The sequence below is a fragment of the Homo sapiens genome, chromosome 7, assembly GCF_000001405.40.
Source record: "Homo sapiens chromosome 7, GRCh38.p14 Primary Assembly".
NCBI classification, from domain to species: domain Eukaryota; kingdom Metazoa; phylum Chordata; class Mammalia; order Primates; family Hominidae; genus Homo; species Homo sapiens.
The window spans coordinates 73,825,839-73,842,674 of record NC_000007.14 but is presented as its reverse complement, the minus strand read 5'-3'; the positions used below and the strand labels follow the sequence as shown (position 1 = coordinate 73,842,674).

At 57.1% G+C, this 16,836-nt stretch overlaps 2 protein-coding genes across 5 annotated transcripts, besides 7 other annotated features; one reads left to right on the top strand and one right to left on the bottom strand.

Annotated features, from left to right (window-relative positions):
- Nucleotides 1-100: a silencer, noted in NCBI's record as "silent region_18268". NCBI's record gives its function as "represses an Ori minimal core promoter by ATAC-STARR-seq in GM12878 lymphoblastoid cells {active_cell/tissue: GM12878}" and the evidence as "EXISTENCE:reporter gene assay evidence [ECO:0000049][PMID:35858748]".
- On the top strand, nt 159-8,085 carry METTL27 (methyltransferase like 27). Of its 4 annotated transcripts, XR_001744563.2 has the most exons (7): nt 159-185; nt 531-657; nt 1,477-1,605; nt 2,126-2,261; nt 2,555-2,644; nt 3,638-3,815; nt 7,673-8,085. XR_001744563.2 is itself a non-coding variant. In NM_152559.3 (6 exons), the coding sequence occupies exons 2-6, from the start codon at nt 535-537 to the stop codon at nt 7,930-7,932; spliced, it is 738 nt and encodes a 245-aa protein (NP_689772.2). In that variant the 5' UTR covers nt 159-185; nt 531-534; the 3' UTR covers nt 7,933-8,085. The 4 variants fall into 4 exon arrangements, 3 of the variants coding, with proteins under 3 accessions (NP_689772.2, XP_016867266.1, XP_016867267.1); NM_152559.3 differs by lacking the exon at nt 3,638-3,815; XM_017011777.2 differs by lacking the exon at nt 3,638-3,815 and having other exon boundaries at nt 7,595-8,085.
- Nucleotides 221-520: an enhancer, noted in NCBI's record as "active region_26130". NCBI's record gives its function as "activates an Ori minimal core promoter by ATAC-STARR-seq in GM12878 lymphoblastoid cells {active_cell/tissue: GM12878}" and the evidence as "EXISTENCE:reporter gene assay evidence [ECO:0000049][PMID:35858748]".
- On the bottom strand, nt 9,985-11,679 carry CLDN4 (claudin 4). The gene has a single exon (NM_001305.5). It carries the CDS (start codon nt 11,471-11,473, stop codon nt 10,844-10,846), a length of 630 nt encoding a protein of 209 aa, NP_001296.1. The 5' UTR covers nt 11,474-11,679; the 3' UTR covers nt 9,985-10,843.
- Nucleotides 10,588-11,290: an enhancer, noted in NCBI's record as "H3K27ac-H3K4me1 hESC enhancer chr7:73245715-73246417 (GRCh37/hg19 assembly coordinates)". NCBI's record gives its function as "activates a minimal SCP1, AML or CMV promoter by ChIP-STARR-seq in primed H9 embryonic stem cells {active_cell/tissue: H9 hESC(primed)}" and the evidence as "EXISTENCE:reporter gene assay evidence [ECO:0000049][PMID:30033119]".
- Nucleotides 11,291-11,993: an enhancer, noted in NCBI's record as "H3K27ac-H3K4me1 hESC enhancer chr7:73245012-73245714 (GRCh37/hg19 assembly coordinates)". NCBI's record gives its function as "activates a minimal SCP1, AML or CMV promoter by ChIP-STARR-seq in primed H9 embryonic stem cells {active_cell/tissue: H9 hESC(primed)}" and the evidence as "EXISTENCE:reporter gene assay evidence [ECO:0000049][PMID:30033119]".
- Nucleotides 14,025-14,672: an enhancer, noted in NCBI's record as "H3K27ac-H3K4me1 hESC enhancer chr7:73242333-73242980 (GRCh37/hg19 assembly coordinates)". NCBI's record gives its function as "activates a minimal SCP1, AML or CMV promoter by ChIP-STARR-seq in naive H9 embryonic stem cells {active_cell/tissue: H9 hESC(naive)}" and the evidence as "EXISTENCE:reporter gene assay evidence [ECO:0000049][PMID:30033119]".
- Nucleotides 14,182-14,476: an enhancer, noted in NCBI's record as "tiled region #14121; K562 Activating non-DNase unmatched - State 8:EnhW, and HepG2 Activating DNase unmatched - State 4:PromP". NCBI's record gives its function as "activates a minimal TATA promoter and a strong SV40 promoter by Sharpr-MPRA in K562 cells, with weaker activity in HepG2 cells {active_cell/tissue: K562 | HepG2}" and the evidence as "EXISTENCE:reporter gene assay evidence [ECO:0000049][PMID:27701403]".
- Nucleotides 14,673-15,320: an enhancer, noted in NCBI's record as "H3K27ac-H3K4me1 hESC enhancer chr7:73241685-73242332 (GRCh37/hg19 assembly coordinates)". NCBI's record gives its function as "activates a minimal SCP1, AML or CMV promoter by ChIP-STARR-seq in primed H9 embryonic stem cells {active_cell/tissue: H9 hESC(primed)}" and the evidence as "EXISTENCE:reporter gene assay evidence [ECO:0000049][PMID:30033119]".

Here is a 16,836-nt window from a genome sequence, read left to right as displayed (position 1 = left end):
TTGAGCTCATTGGCTGGCGGGGGGGGGGGGGGCGGGCAGACTGCCAGCGCCTTCCTTTGACTGGCTATTTTCTCTCAGCGGAAAACCAATCATTGCGGGCAGGCGGTGAGGGTGTGGCCAGGGTCGCAACACAGGCCCCGCCCCGAGTCCTGTTGCCCACACGCCCGAGGCGCGCTGGATTGGCGGTGAGTTCTGACTCCGGCCTCCTTCGAGACCGTTTCGCTCCGGATGTCGCCCACCTCCGACCCTCTCTCAGTCGGAGGGCGGAAAAGAGGAAGATAGGTCCTTCCTCCAGCCGCGGGGCACCCCCTTCTCCCACCTTGCCCTTCCCCCAGCCCTGCAGCCCCAGAGTGTAAATATCCAAGCCCGCCCTCTCTGCGCTCAGTGTCCCCATCTGGGATAGGGGCCGGGATAGGGGTCGCGCTGGCAGGAGGCCTGGCAGCCTCCTCTGAAGGGGGAGGAGGGAAGGGGGAAAGGAGGGGATGGGCGATTGAGGTGGACCTCGAGACAGGGCAACGGTGTCCCCACAGGAGCATGGCCCAGGAGGAGGGTGGGAGCCTGCCCGAGGTGCGGGCGCGGGTCAGGGCCGCGCATGGCATCCCCGACCTGGCCCAAAAGCTCCATTTCTATGACCGCTGGGCTCCGGACTACGACCAGGTAAACTCATTTGGGGCCTTGCCTCCACTAGACCAGCCTCCATTTTTCTACCTGTAAAGTGGGGAATCAGCCTTGCACCCGGGGGCGGCTGTGAGGACGAAGTGAGGCCTGGCTAAGAACCCTACAGTCCTGCCCCTTCCAGAACCCGCCCCACAGCTCTGGATTGGCAGCCCCATCAGGGGCCATGACCTCCTGAGGGGGGCTGCCTGGAGGAGGTGCTATTGAGAAGTCACTGTGGGGCCGGGCGCGGTGGCTCACAAGCCGTAATCCTAAGCCCTTTGGGAGGCCGAGGCGGGCGGATCACCTGAGGTCAGGAGTTCGAGACCAGCCTGGCCAGCATGGTGCAACCCTGACTCTACTAAAAATACAAAAATTAGCCAGGCCCACGTGGTGGCAGGCGCCTGGTAATCCCAGCTACCCTGGAGGCTGATGCAGGAGAATTGCCTGAATCCGGGACACAGAGGTTGCAGTGAGCCAAGATCTCTTCACTGCACTCCAGCCCGAGTGACAGAGGGAGACTCTGTCTCAAAAAAAAAAAAAAAAAAAGTCATGTGGACTCAGCAGAGAGAGCCGCTTGGCCAGGAGAGAAGGTCCCTGGAGGGCTGAGTCTACTGTACAGTGGGCTGGGGGCTAACTCTCCAGTCCTGGCCCTTTAGCAATGGGAAGCACCTCATGCCTGGGCGTCCCCTCACGCTAGCCCCAGCCAGGCTTGATCCCCAACACACACAGCTTAGCCTGGCAGACTCTGAGACCACCCCATAAGGGAGATCCCCCAAACACTGGGGCACCGGTGTTGTAGGCCCGGCACTCTTTCCCCAGGATGTGGCCACCCTGCTGTACCGTGCGCCCCGCCTCGCAGTGGACTGCCTCACACAAGCCCTTCCAGGCCCGCCCCACAGTGCCCTGATCCTGGACGTGGCCTGTGGCACAGGCCTAGTGGCTGCCGAGGTGAGGCTCTTCCAGATCCCCTGCCTACTCCTTAGCCCCGCACTTCCTCAAATCTCCTACTGCCCCTGGCCCCAGAACCCTGCCCCACACCTCAGACTCACTGTTTCAAATGCATGAGACAGGACCAGGCATACTGTGGCTCACACTATGGGAGGCCGAGGCAGGAGGACAGCTTGGGGCCAGGAGTTTGAGGTCAGCCTGGGCAACATAGCAAGACCCCTGTCTCTACAAACAGATTTAAAAATTAGCCAGGCAGGGTGGTGCACGCCTGTAGTCCCAGCTACATGGGAGGCTGAGGTGGGAGGATCACTTGAGCCCGGAAGTTCAAGGCTGCAGTGAGCTATGATCACGCCACTGCACTCCAGTTTGGGCGACAGAGAGAGACCTTGTCTCAAAAATTTAAAAAAAGCAAATGCATGGGCCACATTCAGTGCAGAGTCCACTGCCCTGCCAAGGTGCAGGGACCCAGCCGGGAAGTGGCAGGTGTGAACCATGACTGAGTCTCCCACCCCTACCCCAGCTGCGGGCTCCAGGCTTCCTCCAGCTGCATGGGGTGGATGGGAGCCCAGGGATGCTGGAACAGGCCCAGGCCCCCGGCCTCTATCAGCGCCTCAGCCTCTGCACCCTGGGCCAGGAGCCTCTGCCCAGCCCGGAAGGTACTTTCTCTCCCACCTCCACACCCCGAGGCCCACCCTCATGAAGCCCTTTCCCTTGCTGATCCTCCATCCCTCTCCCACACTAAGCTCCCAGTCCCTCACTCAACCCTGCACCCCACGATCTGACTGCAGCCCAGAACTGGGCCATACTTACCTTATCCTCTAGGGGACCTGGGTCCTGCAGATGCGGGTAGTAGCCTCGTCCCACCCCTAGGGTGGTCTGAGGCCACACCATAGACAAAGTACCTTCCAAGCATCACACCATGTCCCCACCCCCCCCCACACACACACAGGGACCTTCGACGCGGTGCTGATAGTCGGTGCCCTCAGTGACGGCCAGGTGCCCTGCAATGCGATACCTGAGCTACATGTCACCAAGCCAGGTGAGGAGCAGCCCAGCCAACCACCCCCAACCCCCGTCACCATATACCTTCCCCTGTGCATAGTGCAGACACAGGCCCCAGAGCCCCTCAGGCTAAGCGAGGGGCAGCGTCCTGCCCAGCGTCACACACAGCCTAGCCTAACATCCCAGCCACCAACAGCAGACCCAGGCAAACAGGCCGGGCAGACAGGTGGCCAGCTCGGCTCTTATCCATGGACAACCAGGAGCAACTCCACCCTCCTCTGCAGCCTCCTTTTCCCAGTCTGGGAGTCAGGTGGTATAAATGCTACAATCCAGTCCCCGTAGGACTGCAGTGAGAATCAGGTGAAATCCTGTCTCTAAGGTTTTTGCTTTGGTCCTGACCCACAGTGAGGGCTCAGTTCTGTTCCTTCCTCTCACTGCTTCCTCACTCATTCATAGACTGCCTTTGGAGCATCTCTTTCTCTTTCCTGGTCTCAGTCTTCTCATCTGGGAAATGGGGCTGCTCAGGGGAGATGAGAGCTGTGAGCACCGTTTGTAAACTTTGCACATTGCGCTGCCCGGGCAGGTGTGTTTCCCGTCTCCTGCTGTGTTCTTGCTCAGCGCTTTGTTCTGCTCTGGGCAGAGGGCTCAGACCCTGCCCTCTGGGCCTTGATCTCCAACCCACTGGGGCCCAGGAAGGGGCCAGAGAGCACAGGGCCTGGTCAGAGGTGGCCCCACGAGAGCCGTGAGTGCTCACTGCTCCCAGAATTTATTTATTTATTTAATTTGAGACAGAGTCTTGCTCTGTCACCAAGGCTGGAGTACAGTGGCACAATCTCAGTTCACTGCAACCTTCACCTCCCAGGTTCAAGAGATTCTCCTGCCTCAGGCTCCCAAGTAGCTGGGATTACAGGAGCCCACCACCACACCCAGCTAATTTTTGTATTTTTAATAGAGATGGGGTTTCATCATGTTGGCCAGGCTGGTCTTGAACTCCTGACCTCAAGTGATCGCCCGCCTTGGCCTCTCACAGTGCTGGGATTATAGGCATGAGCCACTGTGCCTGGTCCTGCTCCATGAATGTAGAGAAGAGAGGCATTTCCAAGACCAGGTGAGGAATCCACATGGGGTGCACCCTAAGGCAGAAAGGAGAGGGGCTGAGCATGAGAACGAGGAGGCGCTGGCTGGCTGCAGGACAGGAAATCATAGAGGTAAAAATGCTTCCTCTCCCTCCCGTCTCTGCCAGGCCCAGCAGAGGCTGTGGCTAAGCCTGGGCAGGTCTGGGCAGGCATCTGGGGAGCCCTGAAGGCTGACAAATGCAGGGACACGGATGGGGTCAGCTGGAAAGGTCGAAGTTGGGCCCAAGAAGACAGGAACTTTCTACTGGGTGAAGCAGCCAGGATCGGACTTCCTAGCCCAACCTGTGCTTGCTAAGCCCTTCAGCCCCATCAGGCTGCCCATGGGTGACAGTCTCCCCTGCTCCGGAGCCTCTCCTCTCACTGCGCTCCCTTCTATCAGCAACACCCTGCTTCTCCTTACCCCCTCCTCCAGGAAACCTTCCCAGACCAGTCACTTGGGCTTCCCCATCTCTCCTTCTCAGTGCACTTGGGGCCACCCTGGGCACGCACACTATAGGTGCCTGGACCTGAGGTGACAAGGCCATTCAGCCGGCACTTACTGTAGGGCACTTCAAACACACATACCAGCCTTCCTGTGATGTTAGATAATCATCCTCTCTGTGCCAGCTGGGAAACTGAGGCCCAGAGAGGTGAAGGGATAGCCCAAGATCCAAAGCCCACATGGGAACTTTCTTCCTGTCCATTCAGACACAGTCACATCCTCCAGCAGAGGCGTGGGTGAGTGGTGAGTGGTGAGGAGGGTGTCTCCTCAATCCAGGAGAATTACGTCAAGAATTCCCCACCAGGCACAGTAGCTCACCCCCATAATCCCAGCACTTTGGGAAACCGAGGCAGGAGGATCCCTTGAGCCCAGGAGTTCAAGAGCAGCCTGGACAACATAGCAAGACCCCATCTCTACAAAAAAAAAATGTTTAATTAGCCAGGCGTGGTGGTGAGCACCTGTGGTCCCAGCTACTCAGGAGGCTGAGGTGGGAGGATTGCTTGAGCTCGTGAGTTGGAGGCTACAGTCAGCTATGATTGCTCTGCTGCACTCCAGCCTAGGAAATAGGGTGAGATCCTATCTCAAGAAAGAAAAAAAAGGGGGGGTGGGCAGGCACAGTGGCTCACGCTTATAATCCCCAGCGGGCAGATCACCTGAGGTCAAAAGTTCGAGACCAGCCTGGCCAACATGGCAAAACCCCATCTCTACAAAAAATACAAAATAGCCGGGCGTGGTGGCACGTGCCTGTAATCCCAGCTGCAAGGGAGGCTGAGACAGGAGAATCACTTGAACCCAGGAGGCGGAGGCTGAAGTGAGCCAAGAGCATGCCATTGCACTCCAGCCTGGGTGACAGAGCAAGACAGGGTCTCAAAAAAAAAGAAAGAAAGAAAAAGGAATTCCCAATGTAAAAGACACAGAAAGACTGCCCTGGGAAGGAAGCTGGAAGAATTTCTTTTTCTTTTTTTTTTTTTTTTTTATTGGAACATTAATTAGGTTTTATTTTCACTTTTTGTTTCCACAGTAACATGTATGGGATTAGGTTACAGTGTTTATTTGTCCCCAATCTTTTATTTATTTATTTATTTATTTATTTATTTATTTATTTTTAATTGATTGACTTTTTATTTTTTTTTATTTTTTTTAAATTTATTTATTTATTTATTTATTTTTTATTGATAATTCTTGGGTGTTTCTCACAGAGGGGGATTTGGCAGGGTCATAGGACAATAGTGGAGGGAAGGTCAGCAGCTAAACAAGTGAACAAAGGTCTCTGGTTTTCCTAGGCAGAGGACCCTGCGGCCTTCCGCAGTGTTTGTGTCCCTGGGTACTTGAGATTAGGGAGTGGTGATGACTCTTAACGAGCATGCTGCCTTCAAGCATCTGTTTAACAAAGCACATCTTGCACTGCCCTTAATCCATTCAACCCTGAGTGGACACAGCACATGTTTCAGAGAGCACAGGGTTGGGGGTAAGGTCATAGATCAACAGGATCCCAAGGCAGAAGAATTTTTCTTAGTACAGAACAAAATGAAAAGTCTCCCATGTCTACTTCTTTCTACACAGACACGGCAACCATCCGATTTCTCAATCTTTTCCCCACCTTTCCTGCCTTTCTATTCCACAAAGCCGCCATTGTCATCCTGGCTCGTTCTCAATGAGCTGTTGGGCACACCTCCCAGACGGGGTGGTGGCCGGGCAGAGGGGCTCCTCAGTTCCCAGTAGGGGCGGCCGGGCAGAGGCGCCCCTCACTTCCCGGATGGGGGGGCTGGCCGGGCGGGGGGCTGACCCCCCCCACCTCCCTCCCGGACGGGGCGGCTGGCCAGGCAGAGGGGCTCCCCACCTCCCAGTAGGGGCGGCCGGGCAGAGGCGCCCCTCACTTCCCGGATGGGGGGGCTGGCCGGGCAGGGGGCTGACCCCCCCACCTCCCTCCCGGATGGGGCGGCTGGCCGGGCAGAGGGGCTCCTCACTTCCCAGTAGGGGTGGCCGGGCAGAGGCGCCCCTCACCTCCCGGACGGGGCGGCTGGCCGGGCGGGGGGCTGACCCCCCCACCTCCCTCCCGGACTGGGCGGCTGGCCGGGCAGAGGGGCTCCTCACTTCCCAGTAGGGGCGGCCGGGCAGAGGCGCCCCTCACCTACTGGACGGGGCAGCTGGCCGGGCGGGGGGCTGACCCCCCCACCTCCCTCCTGGACGGGGCGGCTGGCCGGGCGGGGGGCTGATGCCCCCACCTCCCTCCCGGACGGGGCGGCTGGCCTGGCGGGGGGCTGACCCCCCTACCTCCCTCCCGGATGGGCGGCTGGCCGGGCAGGGGGCTGACCCCCCCACCTCCCTCCCGGATGGGGCGGCTGGTGGGGCGGGGGGCTGACCCCCCCACCTCCCTCCCGGATGGGGTGGCTGCCGGGCGGAGACGCTCCTCACTTCCCAGACGGGGCGGCTGCCGGGCGGAGGGGCTCCTCACTTCCCAGACGGGGCGGCTGCCAGGCGGAGGGGCTCCTCACTTCTCAGACGGGGCGGCCGGGCAGAGATGCTCCTCACCTCCCAGACGGGGTTGCGGCCGGGCAGAGGTGCTCCTCACATCCCAGACGGGGCGGCGGGGCAGAGGCGCTCCCCACATCTCAGACAATGGGCGGCCGGGCAGAGACGCTCCTCACTTCCTAGATGTGATGGCGGCCGGGCAGAGGTGCTCCTCACTTCCTAGGTCGGATGGCGGCCGGGCGGAGACGCTCCTCACTTTCCAGACTGGGCAGCCAGGCAGAGGGGCTCCTCACATCCCAGATGATGGGCGGCCAGGCAGAGATGCTCCTCACTTCCCAGACGGGGTGGCGGCCGGGCAGAGGCTGCAATCTCGGCACTTTGGGAGGCCAAGGCAGGCGGCTGGGAGGTGGAGGTTGTAGCGAGCCGAGATCACGCTACTGCACTCCAGCCTGGGCACCATTGAGCACTGAGTGAACGAGACTCCATCTGCAATCCCGGCACCTCAGGAGGCCGAGGCTGGTGGATCACGTGCGGTTAGGGGCTGGAGACCGGCCTGGCCAACACAGCGAAACCCCGTCTCCACCAAAACCAGTCAGGCGTGGCGGCGCGAGTCTGCAATCACAGGCACTCGGCAGGCTGAGTCAGGAGAGTCAGGCAGGGAGGTTGCAGTGAGCCGAGATGGCAGCAGTACAGTCCAGCTTCGGCTCAGCATGAGAGGGAGACCGTGGAAAGAGAGGGAGAGGGAGACCGTGGGGAGAGGGAGAGGGAGAGGGAGAGGGAGAGGGAGAGGAGGGAGAGGAGGGAGAGGAGGGAGAGGAGGGAGAGGAGGGAGAGGGAGAGGGAGAGGGAGAGGGAGAGAGCGTCCCCAATCTTTTAAGTCGAATTTCTTGCCTTGAAGGGACAACCATCCCCAGCAGAGATGGCCCAGGACTGTGGCTCCTGCCCCTCCCCCACCTCACCTACCCCTCTCCCCCAGGTGGGCTGGTGTGTCTGACCACCAGGACCAACTCGTCCAACCTTCAATACAAGGAGGCTCTGGAGGCCACCCTGGACAGGCTGGAGCAGGCTGGGATGTGGGAAGGCCTGGTGGCCTGGCCTGTGGACCGCCTGTGGACCGCTGGGAGCTGGCTACCTCCGAGCTGGAGGTGGTATCCGGCATCTCTGCCAAGGATGGCTTCATCTCCGGCATTGTCTACCTGTACCGAAAGTGGAAGGCGACCCAGGTTGAGGAAGTGAGATCCAGCCCCCAGCCCCCAGCTGGCCCCTGACTCCATGTGGCCTTAGCTGGGCCCATCTGCTGGGCCTCCTCTGCCTCCCCTGTAAAATGGGACCTCCGAACCAACCCTGCCCCTCAGAAATGCCCTGCCTATTAAATGAGCTCCCAGAAAACAGTGGCATCTGTTCCTGTGGGTTCCAGAATCGAGACGTAGCAGGGTGTGGTGGCTCACACCTGTAATCCCAACAATTTGGAAGGCCAAGGCAGGAGGATCTCTTGAGACCACGAGTTCAAAACCAGCCTGGGCAACATAGTGAGACCCCTATCTTAAAGAAAAATTGTAAAAATTAACACTTTGGGAGGCCGAGGCGGGAGGATCACTTGAGGTCTGGAGTTCGAGACCAGCCTGGCCAACATGGCGAAACCCTGTCTCTACTAAAAATACAAAAATTAGCTGGGCATGGTAGCACACCCCTGTAATCCCAGCTAGTTGCGAGGCTGAGGCAGGAGAATTGCATGAGCCCAGGAGGCGGAGGTTGCAGTGAGCTGAGATGGTGCCACTGGGTGACAGAGCGAGACTCTGTCTCAAAAAAAAAAAAAATTGGAAAAATCAGCCAGGTGCCGTGGGTGCATGCCAGCTATTTGGGAGGCTGAGACAGGAGAATCACTTGAGCCTGGGAGGCAGAGGTTGCAGTGAGCCCAGAGCACACCACTGCACTCCAGCCTGGGCAACAGAGCAAGACTCTGTCTCAAAAAAAAAAAGAAAAGAAAAGAAAAAAAGCAAGAAATGATGGAGAAGACCCCTTCCTGGGGCCTCCCTGGATCCCTCCTTCCAGAGTGCTGGGTCCGCTCACCTCTAACTTACTGACAAGAAAATGAAGCCTGAGCAAGCTTGGAACATGCTTTGCACAACAGTAGCAGGGCAGAGACTCAAGGCCAAGGCCAAGCCCAAGTGGTTGCTGAGGCCCAAGTCCTGTCCTGGACAGCTCCCCCACCCAAATTTGGAGTCCAAAATCCCAAGCTGTAGGTCTGGGCCTGGGCCACACTTGGTTTCCTCATCGATCAAGGGATCAGAATGCCGAGCTCTGGGCGTGGCTTGAAGGCTGCCCTCCAGGTGAAAGGCATTTGGTGACCCTCAGCACCTCAGGGATGTGAACAGGGCTGATAATAATTTCTCCATCCAAGAGAATGGGAAGACTTCATGGGGGAGGAGGCTGGGAGCTGGGCTTTCAGGACGAGCAGGATCCAGAGGGTGGAGAAGGGAAAAGGGACATTCCAGGCTGGAAGCAGGGACCGGCTGTGCAAAGGCTGGGAAGGGGGACCTGTAGGGTGACTCAGCAAAGAGGAACAGACCAGCCTGACTGCCCAGACAAAGCTGCAACAACAGCGGGGTGGGGGTGGCAGGTGGCCCATACCTCGGAGCTGGGAGCCCACGTGGGGACGTCCCTCCTGGGGTCCCCAACCCTTCACCGGGGTCCCGGGCATACGCTGTTTTCTGTATATGGGTTTACCCTCCAACCCATATACAGTGGACAAGGTGATACCTTGGGGGCCCATTTAATTTCTTTTTTAAGGTGATACCTTGGAGGCCCGTTTCGATTTTTTTTTTTTTTTCGTTAAGAGATAAGGTCTCGCCCTGTCACCCAGGCTGGAGTGCAGTGGTGCGATCAAAGCTCACTGCAGCCTCAAACTCCTGGGCTCAAGCAATTCGCCTACCTCGACCTCCCCAAGTACAGGGATTACAGGCATGAGCCACCACACCCAGCTAATTTTTTTAACTTTTTGTAGAGATGGTGCCACTATGTTCCCCAGGCTGGTCTCAAACTCCTGCCTCGAGCGATCCTCCCACCTCGACCTTTTAAAGTGCTGGGATTGCAGGTGCTCACTACCGCACCCGGCCCAGCTCCAATTTTTCACAATTCCCTGGATCTCGTTTTTTTTTTTTTTTTTTAAGTGTTTATGTCCCGGCCAAAACACAGTGGTCCTGCCCCTGACTGACCCCCCCCACCCCCGCACCCAGGCCTCCAGCCCTTCCCCACCCACCTCCACAGTTGAAATCAGAGACAATAAAATTTCCTCCTGTGCACAGGTCCCATTTATTGTAGAAAATAATAATAATTACAGTGATGAATAGCTCTTCTTAAATTACAAAACAGAAACCACAAAGAAGGAAGAGGAAAAACCCCAGGACTTCCAAGGGTGAAGCTGTCCCCTCCTCCCTGCCACCCTCCCAGGCTCATTAGTGTCCTTGGAAGGGGCAGAGGACTCAGAGGGGATCAGTCTCCAGGGGCCCTGGGCTGAAGCGGGTGAGGCAGAGAGTCCTGAGGCCACAGAGCTGGGCAACCTGAGCCGCCTCTCTGGCCCCCTCCCCCACCACTGCCCAAACCTGTTTACAGCACCTTCGCCCCTCCCCTCTAAACCCGTCCATCCACTCTGCACTTCCCAGGCAGGTGGGTGGGCAAGGCCTCAGCCATACTCCTGGGCGCGGGTTTCGGTGAGCAAGGCACAGTCCCAGAGGTGATATCAAGGCCTACCCGGAACAGAGGAGATGCAGGCAGACAGAGTGGGGAAAATGTAAATGGGGACAGTGGCCAACGCCGATGCAGGCAGATCCCAAAGTCAGGGTTAAGCTATCCTGGCCAGCAGAAGCCAGCTCCCCACTCCACCACCACACCCTGTCACTTCCGTCCCTCCCCAATATCCAGAGGAGGGTGGACTCTGTTCTTGCTAGCAGGAGGCGGCCTTGGGAAGTTGTCCGAGTGGGCCAGAGAGGCTGAAGGCTGCTGCCTTCCTGCCTGGCTCAGTCTCTGCCCAGTCCCCAGTCCCCAGCAGCCAGTGGCCCGTGGCAGGGCCCTCCTGGGGTCACAGCCTGCGCTGAGCTCAGTCCAGGGAAGAACAAAGCAGAGAGGAACAGAGTGGAGCCGTGGCACCTTACACGTAGTTGCTGGCAGCAGCAGAGCGGGCAGCAGAATACTTGGCGGAGTAAGGCTTGTCTGTGCGGGGTGGACAGTTGCAGCAAAGCAGCCCCCCGCCAAGGAGCAGCAGGCCGGAGGCGGCCCAGCCGACGTAGAGCGAGGCACCCATCTCCCGCTTCTGCCCGGAGGCCACCAGCGGATTGTAGAAGTCTTGGATGATGTTGTGGGCCGTCCAGGACACCGGCACTATCACCATAAGGCCGGCCAACAGGAACACCACGCCCGCCACGATCATGGTCTTGGCCTTGGCGCTTTCATCCTCCAGGCAGTTGGTACACTTGCCCCCCACCACGGACAGCAGCACGCCCAGAGCAGCCACGATGATGCTGATGATGACGAGGGCGCGGGCCGCCTGCAGGTCCTGCGGCAGTGCCAGCAGCGAGTCGTACACCTTGCACTGCATCTGGCCGGTGCTCTGCACCACGCAGTTCATCCATAGGCCCTCCCAGATGGTCTGCGAGGTGACAATGTTGCTGCCGATGAAGGCCGTCACGCGCCACATGGGCAGCGCGCAGCACAGCATGACGGCCAGCCAGCCCAGGACGGCCAGCGCGATGCCCATTACCTGTAGCCCCATGGAGGCCATTGTTCAGCGTCCACGGGAGTTGAGGACCTGGAAGGCTGAGGGGATCCGGCTGTGGGGGCCGTAGGATTCCAAGCGCTGGGGACGGACTTAACGTTCGCAGAGTGCACCTTTGCACCGTGAGTCAGGAGATAAAGCCAGTCCTGATGCGCAAGCCAGCAAGTGTGAGCAGACCAGTTCCTTCCAGCCGACAGCTGCCAGGGCACTCTCTCTCGGGGACAGGTTGAGCAGTTATATGGCTCTGGCAGAGGGGCGGGGGCAGAGGGAGGGGTTTTTGTCACTGGGGCCTCCTCCTGACCAGTTTCTCTGGATTCCTGAGCCCAGGCCAACAAAGGCACTTTTGAGGCCCCAGCCCCGGGTCCCTGAGTCACTATCCAGTCTCAGAAGAAACTACTCTCTCCCCTTCCTCAAAGCCCATGCTGAGGTCACCCGGGAGACAGACACTGAATCACAGCCCAGGGACAGCTGGATGTTCACAGGTTAAGGCCAGGGGGCAACCAGACCCAGCCAGGTTTGGGAGCCTGAAGACCAGGGTCCCCACAGGCCAGTGCCCCCTCATTCCAGGCTTAGGTGGGAGGACAGGGTGGGGACCCTGAGGGAGAGAATTTGAGAATGAAGTCTTGGAAACGTCCACGAGAAACCCCACCTTGATTATTGTCATTTCTTGTCCTTACCAGTTTCATCACTGGCAGTTTCACGACTGTTGTGAGTATGATCACTCATGCATCTGGCCTCACCAGCAGTCTTTGCGGCATTGGCCGGATAAAGTTACGTGTAGGGGAGTGAGGAGCCGGGAGGCCAGGACTCCGGGGTACATCACCCACTCTCACCCATCCTTATCACCCAGCTTCTCTGCTTGGCTAGAAGAGGGGCCTTGGACATGATGCACCTTCAGCCAAAAAGAGACAGAAGCCTGTCCCCTCTCCACCTCCATGGAAGTTTAGGCTGGTGGGCTCTGTTCCTGCCGGGATCCAGCCTGCTTGCCCAGAACTGGGTGGGGCCAGTCACCAACGACAAACATGAACTAGATCCTGGAGACATCATCACCCCAGTAAATGGGTGTTTACCCTGTGGAGACATACAAAGCCTTCCAATAAAGCCAGAGTGGGTGCAAAGTCCCATGAGATTTCAAAGGGAAGGGGAACTCTTCCAGGGTGGAGGTGGTGGTGCTGAGGGAGCTTGACTGCAAAGGGGTGCTGTGTGGCACAACTCCAGGGGGCGCCGGATTCTTGGAGTATGCTACAGAAGGCATCGTGAACAGGTCCCCCAGAAAAGTTTTGCAAGGCAGTGGGACAGGCTGAAGGAGGACGTTCTGGTAGACGGTGGGCCAGGCTGGACAAATGCAGCTCATTCTGGGATGACAGCCCTCAGGAGAGATGTGCAAGGCAGCGAGGCTAGTGAAGGAGGACATTCAGGCAGAGAGAACAAGGGCAGAGGTGGCAAGGTGGGGAAAGGCAGCTCGTTCTGGGAACAGCCAGGAATCCAGTTTGACCAGAGACTGGGCTGGGGAGGGAGGGACCAAAGTAAAAGGGTCAGAAATTTCTGCCTGGAATGTCACCAAGCCCTGGAAGATAGAGGGAGGGTGGAGGGTCTAGGATCAGGAAGAGCTTGGTTCAGGGCAGATGACTGAGGGGACCTCTGGGAAGGGGTCATCGTGGGGGTGATTGAGAGTGTCTAGGGCTCATCCCAGCCGCACCGAGGGAGCTCCTCCTCACCCGCCGTGTGGTCATTTTGCATCTCTCTTCCCAACCATGCTGGGAGCTCTGCAGGGGCCAGGGCTCCAGTGTGTCCCTGAGCCGCCGCCATTGTCCAGCACTGGTGGCTGTGTGTCCAGTTCTGACCCAGAAGGATGCATAGTCCTTGAGCTTCCTGAGGGAAAGTCTTCAAGAGTGCCATGGTTTGGGTTAAAGCAATCAGTGAGTACCCATGGGAGGTATTTGAGATGGATCTGTTGACCGGCTAATGAAGCACAGGGCAGGCTGGGACAATCTAGCATGGTCCACCTGTGTTACAGACGGGAAGTTGAGGCCTGGTATTGTGGTTAACTCTATACACATCCGTCTTCCCTGCTAGCCTGGGGCTCCTAGAAGACAGGAACAATGCCTTCTGCAACCTCAGTGCCCAGCATCTGGCTTGATACATCACAGATGCTCAAGAAATGTGAGGAGTGGTTGCTGCGGCTCATGCCTATAATCCCAGCACTTTGGGAGGCCAGGATGGGAGGATCGCTTAAGGCCAGGAGTTTGAGGCTGCAGTGAACTATAATCGCACCATTTCACTCCAGCCACGGGCAACAGAGCAAGACTCTGTCTCAAAAGAAAAGAAAAAGAAATGTTTGGGCCGGGTGCAGTGGCTCACACCTGTAATCCCAGTACTTTCGGAGGCCAAGATGGGCAGATCACGAGGTCAGGAGTTAGGCCAACATGGTGAAACCCCATCTCTACTAAAAAATACAAAAATTAGCTGGGTGTGATGGCGCACGCCTGTAATCACAGCTACTCAGGAGACTGAGGCAGGAGAATCGCTTTAACCTGGGAGATGGAGGTTGCGGTGAGCCAAGATCGCGCCATTGCACTCCAGCCTGGGTGATAGAGCGAGACTCCATCTAAAAAAAAAGAAAAAAAAAGACATGTTTGATGATGGAAAGAACGAAGCATTCTCCAGTTTCAAATCACACTCCTATACCTTGACCCCCATCATAGGCACACACACCAAAGCAAACAGAGATGGTTTCTGCCCAGACCACGCCTCCCTGGGGCTTTCTTTACAAGGCTCCCTCTACACACAGAGCCTATGGGCTGAATAACACCAGAGATAAGTAACATCATGATTGGCGATAAGTGCTTTCCTGGAGATGACCTCATCACAGCCTCCTGCCAGTCAGCAGGGCAGGGACTTTTATTGCCTTGGCTCAAAGGAGTACACTGAAGCCCAGAGAAGGCCAGGGCCTTGCCCAGGACGGGTGGGCACTCCAGCATGGGTGCCTCCTTCCCCAGGTGCCTCTTACCTGTGGTCCCAGCCAGGTAGCCTTTAACAAGCTTTCTGAGTAGACACGTGACTTGGCCAGATGGCCAGAACCTGCCCCCCCCAACCCCCCGCCCGCCTCCTGCCCCCCCGGCCCCCGGCCCCCGCCCTGCCACTTCCTGCCCTTGCTTTCCTGGGACACAGCCAAGTGCCACTTGGAGAAGCAGGCATGGGGGAGGGGAGCATGCAAGCCCTACAACAGTCCACCTGTGGCCCTAAGAAGCTGTCCTTCCCTCCCAGGCATAGCCACGCGTATCGGGAGCTGAGAGCAGGGAGGGGTTGGGGGTTGAGGAGAGGGCAGGTACAGAGGCTCCAGGCATAGAGCAGACACAGGGCAGGGGAAGAAGCACAGAGCTCACGCAGGGCTAGGGGACCCAGGTGTGAAGGAGAGGCCAGAAGGATGTCCTTGGGGATCAGCCAGTAGCTCAGCACAAGTGGAGCTGGAGAGAGATTTGTTGATGCTTTGTTGATGCCAAGAGACCGTTGGCTCAGTCCCACCCACCTGCTGCGGGAAAAACACCAGCAAAGGCAAGGTGCTTCTCTCCTCTCCGCTCCAGCTCCCATAGCCCTAAGGCAGAGGAAAACAAGGAAATTTACCTCTAGGCCTGCATCTGGCCCTCTTCCCAAAGCCCGAAGATCTTTTACAGGAACACCTTATAAGACATCTGCCATTCATCACCTTGGTTTTGGGGTCAGAGAGTACAGGGTTGGCACTCATTTATTTTCTTTTTCTTCTTTATAACATGCACTGTGTGATTTTGTGCTGACAGAATTGGATCACGTGCTTTTTTTTGTTTTTTGTTGTTGTTTTTTGTTGTTTTTGTTGTTTGTTTTTTGTTTTGAGACAACACGATCTCTGCTCACTGCAGTCTCCACTTCCCGGGTTCAAGCAATTCTCATGGCTTAACCTCCCGAGTAGCTGGGAGTACAGGCGCACACCACTACGCCCAGCTAATTTTTGTAGTTTTAGTAGAGACAGGGTTTCAGCATGTTGGCCAGGCTGGTCTCAAACTTCCAGCCTCAGATGATCTGCCCGCCTCGGCCTCCCAAAGTGCTGGGATTGCAGGCGTGAGCCACTGCGCCTGGCCACACCTGCTGGTTTCTATCAAGGATAAAAACCACCAGATCAGCTCACCCATCTCTGCCCACCCCATAAACCATCTTTCCAGCCCAGGAACCATCTCTGAGCCACAGCTTCCTCCTTTGTAAAAATGAGGATGTTGCACCCCCTCCAGGATCAAAAACAAAAACAGACGTGAAATGAGATGGGGATGTGAAAATGCTTCATGAGCCAAAAAGCTCAGGACAAAAGCTGGGAAGCTGTGTATCCATAAGCCATCCTACCAGCCCTGTGACCTTGGAGAAGCCAATTCCATCTCTGAGCCCCAACTTCCTCCTTTGTACAATGAGAACACTGGGGCCCACTCCCCAGTCTGAGATACACATGAAATGAGAGAAGGAAGTAAAAATGCTTTGTGAGCCAAAAAGTTTAATAACAAGAGGAGGGAGCAAAGTTCCGTACGCAAAGCAGCTGCTGCGCAGTTCGGATCCTGATCATAACAGGTGGGAGCTAGGACTTTTCAGACCCCTGTCCCCAGAGTTCCAGGGGCTTGGCCAAGTCCCCAGTTGTTTTGTTTTGTTTTGTTTTGTTCTCTTTTTTTGAGACGGAATGTCGCTGTCACCCAGGCTATAGTGCAGTGGTGCAATCTCGGTTCACTGCAACCTCTGCCTCCCAGGTTCAAGCGATTCTCCTGCCTCAGCCTCCCGAGTAGCTGGAACTACAGGTGCTCGCCACTACGCCCAGCTAATTTTTGTAGTTTTAGTAGAGACAGGGTTTCAGCATGTTGGCCAGGCTGGTCCCGAACTTCTAGCCTCAAGTGATCTGCCCTCCTCAGCCTCCCAAAATGCTGGGATTGCAGGCGTGAGCTACCCCGCCTGGCCCCAAGTCCCCAGTTGTAACACACACACATGCAGCTTGCCCTGAGTTCAGCTCCCTGGGAGTCCCTAGCAAAGGGGCAAAAACAAAGTCTCCCTTCTAACCCCAAGCTCCCGCTGGCATCTGAGCCCCAGGGCCAGTGATGGACCACTGTCCTGCAGCCAAAAAGATCTCTGTGAGCTGAGCAGTCTAGCTCCCAGAGCCCGTACTCCACGTCTTCTGGGAACAGGAAGACTAAAGCCAGGGAAGCCAGTGTATATTAAATTGATTCCTAGGGCGGACACAGTGGCTCACACCTGTAATCCCAGCACTTTAGGAAGCTGAGGTGGAAGGATCACTTGGGCCAAGAGTTCTAGACCAGCCTGGCCAACATGGTGAAACCCCGTCTATACTAAAAATTAGCTGG